Below are 17,613 nucleotides of genomic sequence, written 5' to 3'. Positions count from 1 at the left end.
TTTAATATGAACATTACTACCCCTGTGTTCTGGTATATCTTTTTGATATGCTTTATTTTTTAAAATTTTATGTAAAATTTCTACACTATTTTAATAGAAGGCAGAATCATACAATTAACTTTCATATACTCAACAACAAACTTTAATCATTATCAACTCATGGCCAATCCCTTTTTTACCTATACACCCACCCACTCTTCCCACCTTTTTCTTGATTATTTTGAAACGAAACCCAGACAGCACATTATTTTATGTATAAATATTTTGTATGTATCTCTAAAAGATCAGGTCCATTTTTAAAACATAAGCACAATAATATTGACACTCCTTTAAAAAATTCTTAATATACTTATATATCTAATCAGAGTTCAAATGTTGCCAATTGTCTCGTTTCAAAAAATAGTCTTTTAGGCCGGGCGTGGTGGCTCACACCTGTAATCCCAGCACTTTGGGAGGCTGAGGCAGGTGGATCACAAGATCAGGAGTTCGAAACCAGCCTGGCCAATATGGTGAAACCCTGTCTCTACTAAAAATACAAAAATTAGCCTGGTGTGGTGGCGGGTGCCTGTAGTCCCAGCTACTTAGGAGGCTGAGGCAGGAGAATTGCTTGAACTCAGGAGGCGGAGCTTGCAGTGAGTCGAGATCATGCCACTGCACTCCAGCCTGGGCAACAGAGCGAGACTCCGTCTCGAAAAAAAAAAAAGCTTTTTAATTATTACAGTTGGAACCCAGCTAAGATCTATAAGTGGCCATTGGTTGATGGCTTATAAGTCTCTTAACTTCTGGGTTCCTTCTCTCCTTTTTCTTCCTTGAAGTTTTCTTTGTTGAAGAAACAAGATAGTTGTTCTGAAGTGTTTTTCAGAGTCTGAGTTTTGCTAATTGAGTCTCTGTGATGTCATTTAATGTGTTGTTTTCTCCTCTGTATTTCTTGTAAATTAGATATCCCTTTACTTTCAGGCTGTTTGATTATGTTGTATTTGTGTCCAGCATGTACCTAGATTTCATTCCTTTAAATAATTAGACAGTCTTTTTTAACCAGCAAGCATAATCACTGTTCATTTATTGTATTTACTGATATATTTGTGCTTATTTCTAATATCTTATTTCATGGTGGTTTTTTTGCCATTTATTTCCTTTACTTTTGTCCCTCTTTTTTGCCTTTTATTGGATGGAGTTTTCTGTATTCTCTCTTTCCTGCTGTATTGGTTCAGAAATTATACATTAGATTTTTAGTTTTTAGTGGTTATTCTTGAATTTTTAACATTCATAGGTGAGTTAAAATTTAAGGTGAATTTGGACATGGTGGTGCATACCTGTAGTCCCAGCTATTTGGGAGGCTGAGGTGGGAGGATCACTTGAGCCCAAGAATTAAAGGTTGTAGTATGCTATCATCACACCTGTGAATAGCCACTGCACTCCAGCCTGAGCAACATAGTGAGACACCGTCTCTTAAAATTTTTTTCATTTTAAATTAAGGTGAATATATCTACCTCCCAAACAATAGAAGGACTTTAGACCTTTTTAGCGCTGATTTGTTCCCTCCATCTTCTCTGATACTGTTTTTTTGTTTGTTTGTTTTTGAGATGGAGTCTCACACTGTGGCCCAGTCTGGAGAGTGCAGTGGTGTGATCTCAGCTCACTGCAACCACTGCCTCCCAGATTCAAGCAATTCTCCTGCCTCAGCCCCCCAAGTAACTGGGACTACAGGTGCACACCACCACACCCAGCTAATTTTTTGTATTTTTAGTAGAGATGGGGTTTCACCATGTTGGCCAGGATGGTCTCAGTCTCTTGACCTTGTGATCTGCCTGCCTCAGCCTTCCAAAGTGCTGGGATTACAGGCGTGAGCCACCACGCCCGGCCTCTGATAACTGTTTTCAAATATTTTAGATCTACTCTGTTTTTAACCCTCCCATTTAGTTCCCCTTGCCTTTTATTTTTTAAGTCAGCACTTAGTTAAGATTTCTCAACGTTTGGCATTTTCTTTGCCAACAATTACTTCATTTTAAAATTTCTAATTTTTTTTTTTTTTTTTTGAGACAGAGTCTCGCTCTGTCACCCAGGCTGGAGTGCAGTGGTGCTATCTTGGCTCACTGCAAACTCCGCCTCCTGGGTTCATGCCATTCTCCTGCCTCAGTCTCCTGAGTAGCTGGGACTACAGGTGCCCGCCACCGCGCCCGGCTAATTTTTTGTATTTTTAGTAGAGACTTGGTTTCCCTGTGTTAGCCAGGATGGTCTTGATCTCCTGACCTCGTGATCCGCCTGCCTCGGCCTCCCAAAGTGCTGGGATTACAGGCATGAGCCACCGTGCCCGGCCTAAAATTTCTAATTTAAATAATGTAAATATGTAGGCAACAAATGTATAAAACCAAAACAAGTTTCATGATACCTTTTATTGCCTGAGATGCTCTCTGGTATTTTCTCTTCTCTGCTATTGTTGCCCACAGTTGCTTCTTGCATCCACTTCTTTTTTTTTTTTTTTTTTTTTTAGACAAAGTCTCACTCTGTTGGAGTGCAGTGGTGCGATCTCGGCTCACTGCAGCCTCCTCCTCCAGGGTTCAAGCAATTCTCTGCCTCACCTTCCTGAGTAGCTGGGACTACAGGCACCTGCCACCATGCTGGGCTAATTTTTTGTATTTTTAGTAGAGACGGGTTTTCACCGTGTTAACCAGGATGGTCTCAATCTCCTGATCTCATGATCCGCCCACCTTGGCCTCCCAAAGTGCTGGGATTACAAGCGTGAGCCACCGTGCCTGACCGTATTTCTTTTATTTACCTTATATTGGAGTAGGAATGATTCTTTAGTTTTAAGATTTAACTTTGGGGACTTTTCACCCATAATATTTTGAAGTACTGCTTCCTCCCCATTTTTTCTTTTCTCTCTAAAACACCTAATAGAGGCATGTTGGACCTCCTCACTCTGTTCCTTATATCTTTTTTTTTTTTTTTTCGAGACAGAGTTTTGCTCTTGTTGTCCAGGCTGGAGTGCAATGGCACAATCTTGGCTCACCACATCCCCTGCCTCGCAGGTTCAAGTGATTCTCCTGTCTCAGCCTTCCAAGTAGCTGTGATTACAGGCGTGTGCCACCACCACTGGCAAATTTTTTGTGTTTTTAGTAGAGACAGGGTTTCTCCATTTTGGTCAGGCTGTTCTCGAACTCCTGACCTCAGGTGATCAGCCCACCTTGGCCTCCCAAAGTGCTGGGATTACAGGTGTGAACCACTGTGCCTGGCCTCCTTATCTCATTCAGCCTCTTCTGCATAATTTCCTCCCTTTATCAGTGGTTCACTCAGGATGATTTCCTCATATCTGTCTTCTAGTTTACTAATTCTCTTTTTTGCTGTGTCTTTGCTGTTTTAGCTATTCATTATGATTTTAATTTTGGTGGCTACATTTAATATCTAGAAGTTGTATTTATTTCTTTTTCAAATCTATCTGCTCTTTGGATGTTGTGTCCTGTTTTTTTATTGCTGTTCCTATGCTTTATCTGTTTCATAATTTCAGTCATGTTTTATGACTAACCTTTTCTGATTATTGTATTTCATATGTGCACATTATCAATTGTTGAATCTGCATACTGACTGTCTTTCATGGTTGGTTGTTCCTTTGTGTGAATTGTAATTTTTTATCATGGGCTTATCATTAGTGGAAGTTCTGCTAGATTATATGTTTGTCTTTGGAGTAGTTTTGCATTTGCTTTTTGCTATCGTTGAAGTAGGAAAAAATTGAAACAAATTTTAGTATACGTTTCTTCACTTGGGGTTGCTGTACTTTATTGATGGTAGAAATTCAGACCCTGTTCATGCTTGTGGCAAGTCAGGGTGTTGATTTCTCAAAGTTGACTTTTATTTTTCTCTCAGCTGCTGTCCATGCAGATAGAAAACTTATTTGCTGTTTCACCAGGGGAGAGATTTTCTTTTTCCTATTTTATGGACAAAGCTGTCCTTCAGTGCTCTAAGATACATGAAGGTAGCTCAGTTTTTCCCTCATTGCAGTGTACAGAACCACATCTCCTATTCCTCAGTAGACTATCCCAGCATCATTGCCCACTTACTGCTCCAGCTATGAGTTCCTTTTTCTTTTCTGGCACCATGGGATTTCTCTGTTTAGAAAGATTGGTCGTATATTAAAATTTTTTTTTGTAATTTAGCATGTCTATGTTTTTATGAAAGGGCATAGGCCTATGTACTTCAGCTCAGTCTAATAAATCTTGTTTATTTACTGTGGGAGAGCTTTAACTTCAAATTTTTTATTAAATTCATTATACAGTAGAAAGCTATTAGCATAATATGTGACAAACTTCTAATATCTGGGTTGCCAGTTGGAAATAGTGGCAATTGTCTTTTCCATGTGATCTTTTTTCCTCTACTATTTTATTTTAATTGTAATATATACTCTGGATTAGTGCGTTTTTTGACCCATATGGATGAAGAAGATCAAAGTGACAAAAAGGAGACTTCAGAACCTGAATTTTCAATAACAGAAAATTATTCTGGTCAGAAAACCTGTGTGTTTCCTACTGCCGATTCAGCTGTCAGCCTTTCCAGTTCCAGTGATCAGAATACTACTTCTCCTGGTATTGTTCTTTACTTTTTCATTTACACATACTCTTATTCTCCATTATAATGTTACTGAACATGATTTACTGGGAATATAGTTATGAAAGGTTTGTGAAGTCATTTTGTAATATTTATTTTAGGGGAAGGAAAGTTAAAACTTTTGCTAGTCACATGAAGAACTGTGACATCTTGTCACCTTCATAAGACATACTGCAATTATGTATCATATCTTGGTGTAACTTATTAATATGAAATATATAGCAACTGGAATTACTGTAATAGTTGATTTTTACAAAAATTGAAAAATTAAAACTCTTCCAATTATAAGAACTTTGAATTTTAATTTGAAAACAAAATAGTAGCCATCATTTCTTGAGCCTCTACCATGTGCCAAACATCACTGTTTTATATGCATAGATTCTGGTTTAAGCCTGATCTATGAGGTGTAGACACTATTATTATCTCCATTTTACAGTTGAGGAGATTGAGATTTAGAAGGATTTAGTGCCACTTTTTGTTTTATTTCATTTGGAGGTAGCAATTAAAACTGTTATTCTTTAGTCCTAATGAATATACTTTGTCCTATGAATAATAGAACATAGTAAATACATCAGTTCAATCACTGACAGTGGCTTGGAAATATTTTTTTTCTCTCAGATATTGATGGTCAATTAAAATGATTTTACTGAGTGTTTAGTATATGTTCTATTACCATTATTAAAGTGATATAAACAGTAAAAATGCTATTTTAAATGGCATTACTGTTACTTAAATAAAAGAAAACCTATTAAGAAGCTGACTTTAAATCTTGTAATTATTTTCTCAGTTCTTTCTAGATGCCATGTGTGTTTTAGTCATCAACATATGGGGATAATAATTTCCACTTCACAAAGTTGTGAAGACTGAGTATCATATATAAAGCATCTGAGAATCTTGTTTTATTTTCTTGGTCACTGATAGCTTTTCTCTTCTCTTCTCTGGGGAGGATTGACAAATGAGGTTAAACAGGACTCATATGGCTAGATGGTAGAGGGTTCTAATTATATCTGAGAAGTTTACACTCCATTTTATCCTTGGGAACATGGGAGAATTCCAAGCAGAGAAGTAAAACAAGGAGGTTTTGAGGAAAAATAGAATGGAGGCATAGAGACCACTGAGGAGGCTACTAAAATCTGACCTGGGAAATAATGAGGGCCTGGCTAGTGTTGTGGGAAAGAAATAGAAGAAACGAGACATTTTGAATTAGTAACTGATGGTACTCAGTGACTAGGTGGGTAAAAGAGGAGGAGAGGGGGAACGTGGTTGTTTAGTGTTGCCAGAGTCTAAGGCAAAGGTATAACTAGGTCTGATGTCAAAGTCTAGACTCCAGTCTTTTGGCTTCCCTGAGCCACATTGGAAGAAGAATTGTCTTGGGCCACACATAAAATACACTAACACTAACAATAGCTGATGAGCTAGAAAAAAAAAAAAAGTCCATGCATAAATCTCATAATGTTTTAAGAACGTTTACTTGGTAATAAACAGGTACTGTGGCCGTGGGTTAGTGATCCTGGGTTACTAATAGGAGAAAGGGCAACTTGTTACTTACCAACCTTTGATGACAAACACTTCAATCTTTAACCCAAGAGGTCACCATCTTCGCTAATCTCACCTACTTCCCCATATGCAGCCCAGTCGTTATTGGAAGAGAATCCTTCAAGCTTTTTTTCGTGAATAGGCCAGCAGGGGCCTCTCAAATACTGATAGAAAGTGTCTCTTTAATGGACCTTCTCTTTCCTAAGTACATAGGATTAATATCTTTTTCTACCTAGTAAAAAGCTATAAGGGGTAGAACTATTACTATTACGCTAATCTTAGATTTATGTGAAATATTTCTCTCTTAGTTAAATTGAATTAGTTGCTCTTAACCCACAAATGCCCAGATTCTGAGAACGAAAATAAAATCCTTGATTTGGAGGTTAATAAATTAAATAGAACAATATGTTTTCAAGAAAACAGGTATTTCATATTAAAACCATGTGAATGTGTAAGTCTTAGGGACAGATTTGGTTTATCTCAAGATAATAAAATCTTAAGGAATATTTTTTGAGAAGAGATGTCAGAACACTTTTCCCTATATTAATTCAATCCTGTTTTTAGAATTAAACATATAGAAGAATTAAACATTTAGAATGAAACATATAGAAGACTGAATAGATTAAGTGTTTTTCTCTGAAGACATATAGTTAATACTGGACAAGACTTAAAAATTATATTTTGGGACACATTCTTACAGGTAAATTGCTTCTCGGATTTAAATAAGATATTTTCTAAAATATATTACTTTCAGATCACCAGAGATTTGTTTTTTGTTTGTGTATATTTTATAAAGTAAATTGCACTCCAGTACTCTAAACTGTGTACTAAGCAAAGAAGGGTTGTGCCTTCTGACATATTACACTGAGTACTCAGGATAGAAAAAGTAATAATCTTATACTGGCTGGGTGCGATGGCCCATGCCTGTAATCCAAGCACTTTGGGAGGCCAAGGCAGGTGAATCACTTGAGCTCAGGAGTTCGAGACCAACCTGGGCAACATAGCAAGACCCCGTGTCTACAAAAAATACAAAAATTAGCCTGCATTGCGGCACACACCTGTAATCCCAGCCATTCAGGAGGTTAAGGTGGGAGGTTTGCTTGAGCCCGGAGGCAGAGGTTGTAGTATGCCATGACCATGTCGCTGCACTTAGCCTGGGTGACAGAGTGAGACATGGTCTCAAAAAATATGTAGACAGTATTCACTATCAGATAGCATATTCAGGAAGAGGATAAATATGCTGTAAATATATATCTATAAACCAATTTGGAAGTTTAAAAGTATTTTAATTTAATTTCTGGTTATATAATTTCTAAATTAGATTAACAATTGAAAGCAAAAAAAAACCCAAAATTTTTATTAATAATGATTTTTTTTTTAGGTATGAATAGCAGTGATGAATTGTGTGAGAGGTAAATATCTTAAGAGTTAATTCACAATTTTCTTTAAAGTTGGGTGTAGATAGTGAAAATTTTGTTCATATGTGTGTGAATTTTTACATTATATATATCTTTGTGGTTTAAAGGAATATAAGTTTTCATTGGGTATGGAATATTTTTAAGAAATTGAGGATTGTTATATCTCTTACTGTTTTAGCACAAGTAGTTAGAATTCAATAGACTATATTTACTACATTTTCTTATATAAATATGGATTAAATTTAAACAGAATCTATAGGGGTTTTCTTCTGGACCATATGTTTCCTTTTTAAAGAAAATCTACCAAGTCATTACTTTTTGTTGATTAGTCTTTTTCACTGAGAGATACTAGAATTACAGAAATAGAAGGAACAGTAGATATATGTTTATCATTTTGTGTTCATTTGTTACATGTTTATTTTTGCTTAATGTAATTAAGTTGTAGATACTGATTTATATTTCTTAAATTACATTTGCAAATGAAGTGTTTCAGTACATCCGCTCCAGATGACTGGATTGACTGATATTGCAGACATTATTGATGACCTTATAATTAAAGACGGAGTTTCCAGTGAAGAACTTGGCTTAACAGAACAAGCTATGGGCACCTCCAGGTAATCATTGAATAATTCATTTTTAACCTGTTTAAAATGCTTCTCATTCAAGAATGTTCAAAATTTGTCATATTTTAATGTGATTTTTATGAAACAAATCTGAAGCTTAGAATAGATTTTTTTTTCATGTTTTGTTATGTATATGTGTCATTCTTCCCTTTTCTCTAACAATATATAGTATATAACTGTATCCTGTGGGTTTTCCCAAGAATCACTCTAAGTACAACATACATTTAATCCTGTCTCTTACTAGAAGTAATTAATGATTAGCTCATAGCACTTTACCCAAAAATTAACGCTTAGAATACATTTTAAATAGGCTTTCTGATCTATCATGCAAATGGAAAACAAAAAGGATCAGGGGCTGCTGTTTTTATATCAGATAAAACAGACTTTAAACCAGCAGCAGTAAAAAAGGACAAAGAAAGGGACATAATGATAAAGAGTTCAATTCAACAAGAAGACTTAACTATCCTAAATATATAAGCATACAACATTGGAGCACCTAGACTCATAAAATAAGTAGTTATAGACCTATGAAACTATTTAGGCAACCACGTAGTAATAGTGGGGGACTTCAACACCCCAATGACAAAGTTGGACATATCATCAAAGCAGAAAACTAACAAATTCTGGAATTAAATTAGACACTTGAGCAATTGAACCTAATAAACATCTGTAGAACGCTCCACCCATCAACCACAGAATATACATTCTTTTCATCTGCACACAGAATATACTCCAAGATCGACCAAATGCTTGGCCTTAAAGCAAGTCTCAATAAATTAAAAAAAAAAAAACAACCCTGATATCTGACTGATATGGTTTGGCTGTGTCCCCATCCAAATCTCAGCTTGAATTGTAGTTCCCATAATTCCCATGTGTCATGGGAGGGAACAGGTGGAGATAATTGAATCATGGGGACAGTTTGCCCCTTCCTGTTCTCATGCTAGTGAGTGAGTTGTCACAAGAACTGATGGTATTATAAGGGGCTTCCCCCTTCAGTGGGCACTCATTCTTCTCCTTCCCGCCATTATGTGAAGAAGGACATGTTTGCTTCCCCTTCTGCCATGATTGTAAGTTTCCTGAGGCCTCCCCAGCCATGCTGAACTGTGAGTTAATTACACCTCTTTCGTTTATAAATTGTTCAGTCTCAGGTATGTCTTATTTAGCAGTGTAAGAACAGACTAATATAGTAAATTGGTGCTGCAGAGAGTGGGGTGCTACTGTAAAAATACCTGAAAATGTGGAAGCGACTTTGGAACTGGGTAACAGGCAGAGGTTGGAACAGTTTGTAGGACTCAGAAGAAGACAGGAAGATGTGGGAAAGTTTGGAACTTCCTAGAGACTTGTTGAATGGCTTTGACCAAAAGCCTGATAGCAATATGGACAATAACGTCCAGGCTGAGGTGGTCTCAGATGGAGAAGAGGAACTTGTTGGGAACTGGAGAAGGTGATTCTTATTATGTTTTAGCAACGAGACTGGTAGCATTTTGCCTCTGTCCTAGAGATTTGTGGAACTTTGAACTTGAGAGAGATTATTTAGGGTATCCAGTGGAAGAAATTTCTAAGTGGCAAAGCATTCAAGAGGAAGCAGAGCATGAAAGTTTGGAAAATTTGCAGGCTGACAGTGCAATATAAAAGAAAAACCCATTTTCTGGGGAGAAATCAAGCTCAGTGCAGAAATTTCCATAAATAATGAGAAGCCAAATTTTAGTCACCAAGACCATGGGGAAAATATCTCCAGGGCATGTCAGAGACCTTCATGGCAGTCCCTCCCATCACAGGCCCAGAGGCCTAGGAGGGAAAAATGGTTTCCTGGGGCAGGCCCAGGCCCTCCTTGCTGTGTGCAGCCTAGGGACTTGGTGCCCTGCATCCTATCCTCTCTAGCTGTGGCTAGAAGGCGCCAAGATACAGCTTGGGCTGTGGCTTCAGAAGGTGTAAGCCCTAAGCCTTGGCAGCCTCCACGTGGTGTTGAGCTTGTGGGTGAATAGAAGTCAAGAATTGAAGTTTGGGAACCTTCTAGTAGATTTCAGAGGATGTATGGAAAAGCCAGGCAGAAGTTTGTTGCAAGGGTATAGCTATCATGGAGAACCTCTGCTAGGGCAGTGTGGGAGGGAAATGTGGGGTTGGAGCCCCCACACAAATTCCCTTCTGGGGCACTGCCTAGTGGAGCTGTGAGAAGAGGGCCATCGTCCTTCAGACCCCAGAATGGTAGATTTACCGACAGCTTGCACCATGTGCCTGGAAAAGTCACAGACAATGCTGGCTGTGAAAGCAGCTGGGACAGAGGGCTGTACCCTGCAAAGCCACAGGGACAGAGCTGTCCAAGACCATGGGAACCCACCTCTTGCATCAGCATGACCTGGATGTGAGACATGGAGTCAAAGAAGATCATTTTGGAACTTTAAGGTTTAATGACTGCCCTATTGGATTTTGGACTTGTATGAGGCTGATAGCCCCTTTGTTTTGGCTAATTTCTCCTATTTGGACCGGGTATTTTTACCCAATGCCTGTACCTCCATTGTATCTAGGAAGTAACTAAATTGCTTTTGATTTTACAGGCAGGAGGGTCTTGCCTTGTCTCAGATGAGACTTTGGACTTGGACTTTTGAGTTAATGCTAGAATGAGTTAAGACCGTGGGGGACTGTTGGAAGGACATGATTGTGTTTTGAATTATGAGGACATGAGATTTGGAAAGGGCCGGGGCAGAATGATATGGTCTGATTGTTTCCTCATCCACATCTCATCTTGAATTGTAGTTCCCATAATCCCCACATGTTGGTGGAGATAATTTAATCACGGAGGTGTTTTGCCCCATCCTGTTCTCGTGATAGTAAAAACACTATTTCACGAGATCTGTTGGGTTTTTTGTTGGTTTTTTTTTTTGAGACAGAGTCTCGCTCTTTTGCCAGGCTGGAGTGCCATGGTGTGATCTCAGCTCACTGCAACCTCTGACTCCCTGGTTCAAGTTATTCCTGCCTCAGCCTCCCGAGTAGCTGGGATTACAGGCACGTGCCACCACGTCCAGCTAATTTTTATATTTTTAGTAGAGACAGGGTTTCACCATGTTAGCCAGGATGGTCTCAATCTGCTGACCTTGTGATCCGCCCACCTCGACTTCCCAAAGTGCTGGGATTACAGGTGTGAGCCACTGCACCTGGCCAATCTGATGGTTTTATAAGGGACTTCCCCTTTTGCTGGGCACTCATTCTTCTCCTTCCTGCCACCATGTGGAGAAGGACATGTTTGCTTCCCCTTCCGCGATGATTATAAGTTTCTTGAGGCCTCCCCAGCCATGCTTAACTGTGACTTAATTAAACCTCTTTCCTTTATAAATTATCCAATCTCAGGTGTGTCTCTATTAGCAGTGTGAGAACAGACTAATACACATACCAACCATACTTTCAGATCATAGAAGCATAAAAATAGAAATCAATACCAAGAAGACCTCTCAAAACCACACTATTACATGGAAATTAAACAACTTGCTCCTGAATGACTTTTGGGTAAACAATGAAATTAAGGCAAAAATAAGAAAATTATTTGAAATAAATGAAAACGAAGACACAACATACCAAAATCTCTGGGATGCAGCAAAAGCACCATTGTGAGGAAAATTTAGAGGCTGGGCATGGTGGCTCACATCTGTAATCCCAGCACTTTGGGAGGCTGAGGCAGGTGGATCACCTGAGGTTGGGAGTTGGAGACCAGCCTGACCAACATGGAGAAACCCCATCTCTACTAAAAATACAAAATTAGCTGGGCATGGTGGCACATGCCTGTAATCCCAGCTACTCGGGAGGCTGAGGCAGGAGAAGCACTTGAACCTGGGAGGCAGAGGTTGTGGCAAGCCAAGATCATGCCATTGCACTCCAGCCTGGGCAACAAGAGCAAAACTTTCTCAAAAAAAAAAAAAAAAAAGTGGAAAGTTTATAGCACTAAACACCTATATCAAAAAGTTAGAATGATTTCACATTAGTAATCTAACATCACGCCTAGAGGAACTAGAAAAACAAGAACAAATTAACCCCAGAGCTAGCAAAAGAAAATAAGTAACTAAAATCAGAGCAGAAGTGAACAAAATCGAGAACCAAAAATCCATACAAAGAATCAACAATACCAAAAGTTGGTTATTAGAAAGGATAAACTAGATTGATAGACCACCAGCTACATTAACAAAGAAAAAAAGAGAGAAGATCCAAATAAGCACAATCAGAAAACAACAAAGGTGACATTACAACTGATCCCACAGAAATACAAAAGATCCTCAGAGACTTTTATGAATGCCTGTATGCACAAAGTAGAAAATCTAGAGGAAATGGATAAATTCCTGGAAACACACAACCCCTCAACATTGAATCAGGAAGAAATTTGAAACCCTGAACAGACCAATATGAAGTCCTGAAATGGAATCAGTAATAAAAAACCCACCAACCAATAAAAGCCCCAGACCAGATGGATTCACAGCCAAATTCTGCCAGACATAAAAGAAGAACTGGTGGGAATTCTACTGAAACTCTTTTAAAAAATCAAGGAGGACAGACTCCTCCCCAATCATTCTATGAAGGTGACATCACCCTGATACCAAAACCTGGCGAAGACCCAAGGAAAAAATAAAGCTACAGGCCAATATCCCTGATGAATATAGAAGTAAAAAATCTTCAACAAAATATAGCAAACCGAAAACAGCACATCAAATTGTGGTGATTGTTAATTCACCATAATCAAGTAGGCCTCATTTCTAGGATGCAAGATTGGTTCAACATACACAAATCAATAAATGTGATTAATAGCCATTTATGACAAACCCACAGCCAACATCTTACTGAACGGGCAAAAGCTGGAAGCATTCACCTTAAGAACTGGTACAAAACAAGAATGCTTAATCTTACCACTTCTATTTAACACAGTACTGGAAGTCCTAGCCAGAGGAATCAGGTAAGAGAAATAAACGTAAGGCATCCAAATAGGAAAATAAGAATTCAGATTATCTCTTTTCTATGACAGTATGATTCTATACCTAGAAAACCTAAAGACTCCTCCAAAAGCCACCTAGAACTGATAAATGACTTCAGTAAAGTTTCAGGATACAAAATCAATGTACAAAAATCAGTAGCATTTCTATGCACCAATAACATTCAAGCTGAGAACCAAAGCAAGAATGCAGTCCCATTTACAACAGACACACACACATACACACACACACACACACACACACCTCTAACCAAAGAGGTGAGAGATCTCAGCAAGGAGAACTACGAAACACTTCTGAAAGAAATCGCAGGTGACATAAAAACATAGAAAACATCCCATGCTCACAGAAGAATCAATATCCTTAAAATAACCATACTGCCCAAAGCAATCTATAGATTCAACACTATTTCTATCAAGCTACCAATATCATTTTAAACAGAATTAGAAAAAAAAACTATTCTAAAATTCATATGGAACCAAAACAGGGTCCAAATGGCCAAAGCAATCCTGAGTAAAAAGAGCAAAGCCAGAGTCATCATGTTACCTGCCTTCAAATTATACAAGGTTACACTAACCAAAACAGCATGGTACTGGTACAAAGATGGACATACAGACCAATGGAACAGAATAGAGAACTCAGAAATAAAGTTGCATACCTACAGCCATCTGATCTTTGACAAAGTTGACAAAAATTAGGGGGAAAGGCAGGGGAAATGACTCCCTATAAAGGTTGTGAGAGAGCTGGTTAGCCATACGCAGAAGAATGAAACTGGACCCCTACCTTTCACCATATACAAAAATTAACACAAGATGAATAAAACATTTAAATATAAGACCTCAAACCATAAGAATCCTAGAAGAAACTTAGGAAATACCATTCTGGACACTGGCCTTGGGAAAGAATTTATGACTAAGTTCTCAAAAGCAGTTGTAACAAAAACAAAAATTGACAAGTGGGATGTAATTAAAGAGCTTCTGCACAGCAAAATAATCAACAGAGTAAACAGACAGCCTACAGAATGGGAGAAAATATTCACAACCTTTGCATCCAACAATGATCTAATATGCAGAATCTACAAAGAACTTGAACAATTGGGCTGGGGGCGGTGGCTCAACGCCTGTAATCCCAGCACTTTGGGAGGCCAAGGCGGGCGGATTACAAGGTCAGGAGATTGAGACCATCCTGGCTAACATGGTGAAACCCCGTCACTACTGAAAAATACAAAAAAATTAGCCGGGCGTGGTGGCGGGCGCCTGTAGTCCCAGCTACTCGGGAGGCTGAGGCAGGAGAATGGCGTGAACTTGGGAGGTGGAGCTTGCAGTGAGCCGAGATTGCGCCAATGCACTCCAGCCTGGGCGACAGAGCAAGACTCTGTCTCAAAAAAAAAAAAAAAAAAAAAAAAACTTGAACAATCGAATAAGCAAAGAACAACTAGATTAAAAAGTGGGCAAAGACATTACAAACACTTCTCGAAGTCATTTTGTTTTCAAAAGAAGTTATTATTGAACTTATAAGACCTCATTATTTTCTGGTAACAATATTTTTCTATTACCAGAAAATATTGTACAAAAACGAAAAAGGATTCCACTAATTTCTATTTAATTATTTTAATTTCTATTATTCGATGTATCTGCTGTATTATATATAACCTTATATTAAGACCATGTTAAACCCTAACTTCCTAAACTAATGCATTTAGTTACCTTCAGTTGTTTTGTTAAGTTAATGATCGTGTTAACAGTAATCTATTAAATGTCAATAATTAGAATAAAAATTAAATATTGACTGGATGCGATAGCTCACACCTGTAATCTCAGCACTTTCGAGGCTGAGGTGGGAGGATCATTTGAGCTCAGGAGTTTGAGACCAGCCTGGGCAATGTAGCAAAACCTCATCTCTATAAAAATATTTGGCCTGGCGCGGTGGCTCACGCCTATAATCCCAGCACTTTGGGAGGCTGAGGTGGGCGGATCAGGAGGTCAGGAGTTCGAGACCAGCCTGTCCAACGTGACAAAACCCCGTCTCTACTGAAAATACAAAAAATTAGCTGGGTGTGGTAGTGGGCACCTGTAATCCCATCTACTTCGGAGGCTGAGGCAGGAGAATCGCTTGAACCTGGGAGGTGGAGGTTGCAGTGAGCCAAGACCATGCCACTGCACTCCAGCCTGGGCGACTAGAGCGAAACTCCGTCTCAAAAAAAAAAATTTTTTTTTACTAAAAAAAAATTAAATACAGTTTCTGCTCTTGGAGATAGAGCTCTAAGACCAAGTTATATCAGTGTTTGTGGGAGCTCAGGGGAAGAAAGTCAGTGAAAGAAGGCAATCACAGTAGTTCTTGTATTTATAAGTGAAGGGCAAGGAATTAGATGTAGCTAGAGTTTGTGCATTAGAAGGGGAGAGTGAGACTAGCTGACTGTGAAGACCAGAGGGAATCACTGAGTTCAACCTATTGACACGCAGTAGGGTGTGGTAGAAAGCGCTTTTTTTCTTTTCATTTTGCTTCAGGGGAAAACCGATTTAATATCTACCAACCTCCCCATCCCCCAAATAACTGCATTCTGCGATTTCAACTTTTCTTTCAATTCTGAATCCTGTTTTCTCCACTTATAAAAGGAAAGTTATCAAAAACAAAGGAAGGTTATCAAAAACAAAATACGTTGGCAAAGTACTCATCACTTCTTCGACTTACATTTTTACTGCCGTGAAACTATTTCTGTATGTTCTTCTATCCAGACAGACATTCACTGCAGCCTATAACGTGAAAGATGCAAGCAAGGATATATAACTGTTTCAGTGAACAGATTTGGTGAAGTGCCTTCTGTTTTAGCACTTTAAGTTTATCCATTTTGTTGACTTCTGACATTCCATTTTTCCTAGATAGGAGGAAAGATCTGTTTATGCAGTTCGTTTTTAAAATGTGCCAATGCCTGCACATTAAGATTTTTAAAAATAAAATTGTATAAAACATATAATGTATTGGTCTTTTATGGGGAATTAGATGCATCACCACTGTATTACACTTTATCACAACTGTATTACAGCTTCATCAACATTAACGGGTTTGCTTTCATGACGCTTCTGAGGAATTGGTTCTTTTTGCAGAGGTTCAAGAGAAAGGGCTTTTGAGAAGTTTAGTTCCTTTTGTATATTTACAAATGCTTTATTAACATTGTTAACTTTTCATCATTCATAACATTTATTTTAAGATGAGTAGTAACTGGCTTTGCTTTGTTTTTAGCCTTATAAAGTTGTTTTGGCTGACCATGTGAAATACGTTCCTGGACTTCTGCCCTCTTAATTTGTTCTTGGCCATTGTCTTTGATACTCACATGCAGGTTCTTTTTTTTTAAATTAATTTCCATAGGTTTTGGGGGAACAGGTGGTATTTGGTTACATGAGTAAGTTCTTCAGTGATGATTTGTGAGATTTTGGTGCACCCATCAACCTGAACAGTATGTACTGTACCCAATTTGTAGTCTTTATTCCTCACCCACCTCCCACCCTTTCTCCCAAGTCCCTGAAGTTCATTGTTATCATTCTTATGCCTTTGCCTCCTCATAGCTTATGAGTGAGAGCATACAATGTTTGGTTTTCCATTCCTGAGTTATTTCACTTAGGATAATGGTCTCCAATTCCATCCAGGTTGCTGCGAATGCCGTTATTTCATTCCTTTTTATGGCTGAATAGTATGACATGGTGTATATGTGTACCACAATTTCTTTATCCACTCATTGCTTGATGGGCATTTGGGCTGGTTCCATATTTTTGCAATTGCGAATTGTGCTGCTATAAACATGCGTGTGTAAGTATCTTTTTCATATAATGACTTCTTTTCCTCTGGGTAGATACCCAGTAGTGGGATTGCTGGATCAAATGGTAGTTCTACTTTTAGTTCTTTAAGGAATATCCACACTGTTTTCCATAGTGGTTGTACTAGTTTACATTCCCACCAGCAGTATAAAAATGTTCCCTTTTAACCGCATCCCTGCCAACATCTATTATTTTTTGATGTTTTGATTATGTCCATTCTTGCAGAAGATGGCATTGCATTGTGGTTTTTTATTTGCATTTCCCTGATCATTAGCGATGTTGAGCATTTTTTCATATGTTTGTTGGCCATTTGTATATCTCCTTTTGTGAATTGTCTTGTCATGCCTTAACTCTATTGTTTTGATGGAATTTTTTTTTCTTGCTTATTTGTTTGAGTTCCTTGTATATTCTGGATATTAGTTCTTTGTCGGATGTATAGATTGTGAAGATTTTCTCTCACTCTGGGTTGTCTGTTTACTCTGCTGATTGTTTCTTTTGCTGTGCAGAAACTTTTTAGCTTAAGTTCCACCTATTTATCATTGTTTTTGTTGCATTTGCTTTTGGGTTCTTCATCATGAAGCCTTTGCCTAAGCCAGTGTCTAGAAGGGTTTTTCTGATGTTATCTTCTAGAATTTTTATGGTTTCAGGTCTTAGATTT

General features: G+C 38.2%; 1 protein-coding gene and 1 pseudogene across 49 annotated transcripts in view; one reads left to right on the top strand and one right to left on the bottom strand.

The window, feature by feature from the left end:
- The window catches only part of CPLANE1 (ciliogenesis and planar polarity effector complex subunit 1), a 173,708-nt gene that overhangs the window by 102,490 nt on the left and 53,605 nt on the right, over nt 1-17,613 (top strand). For all 49 annotated transcript variants that reach the window (XM_047417575.1, XM_047417572.1, XM_047417573.1 and 46 more), the window contains 3 exons: nt 4,407-4,577; nt 7,517-7,547; nt 8,039-8,167. In XM_047417575.1, coding sequence (XP_047273531.1) covers nt 4,407-4,577; nt 7,517-7,547; nt 8,039-8,167 — 331 coding nt within the window. The remainder of the gene's footprint in view (nt 1-4,406; nt 4,578-7,516; nt 7,548-8,038; nt 8,168-17,613) is intronic.
- RBISP2 (RBIS pseudogene 2) lies at nt 15,988-16,489 on the bottom strand (annotated as a pseudogene).

This window comes from Homo sapiens, chromosome 5 (assembly GCF_000001405.40).
Source record: "Homo sapiens chromosome 5, GRCh38.p14 Primary Assembly".
Classification (NCBI taxonomy): Eukaryota; Metazoa; Chordata; class Mammalia; order Primates; family Hominidae; genus Homo; species Homo sapiens.
The sequence above is the reverse complement of the archived record's forward strand: the minus strand, read 5'-3'. Positions and strand labels throughout refer to the sequence as shown.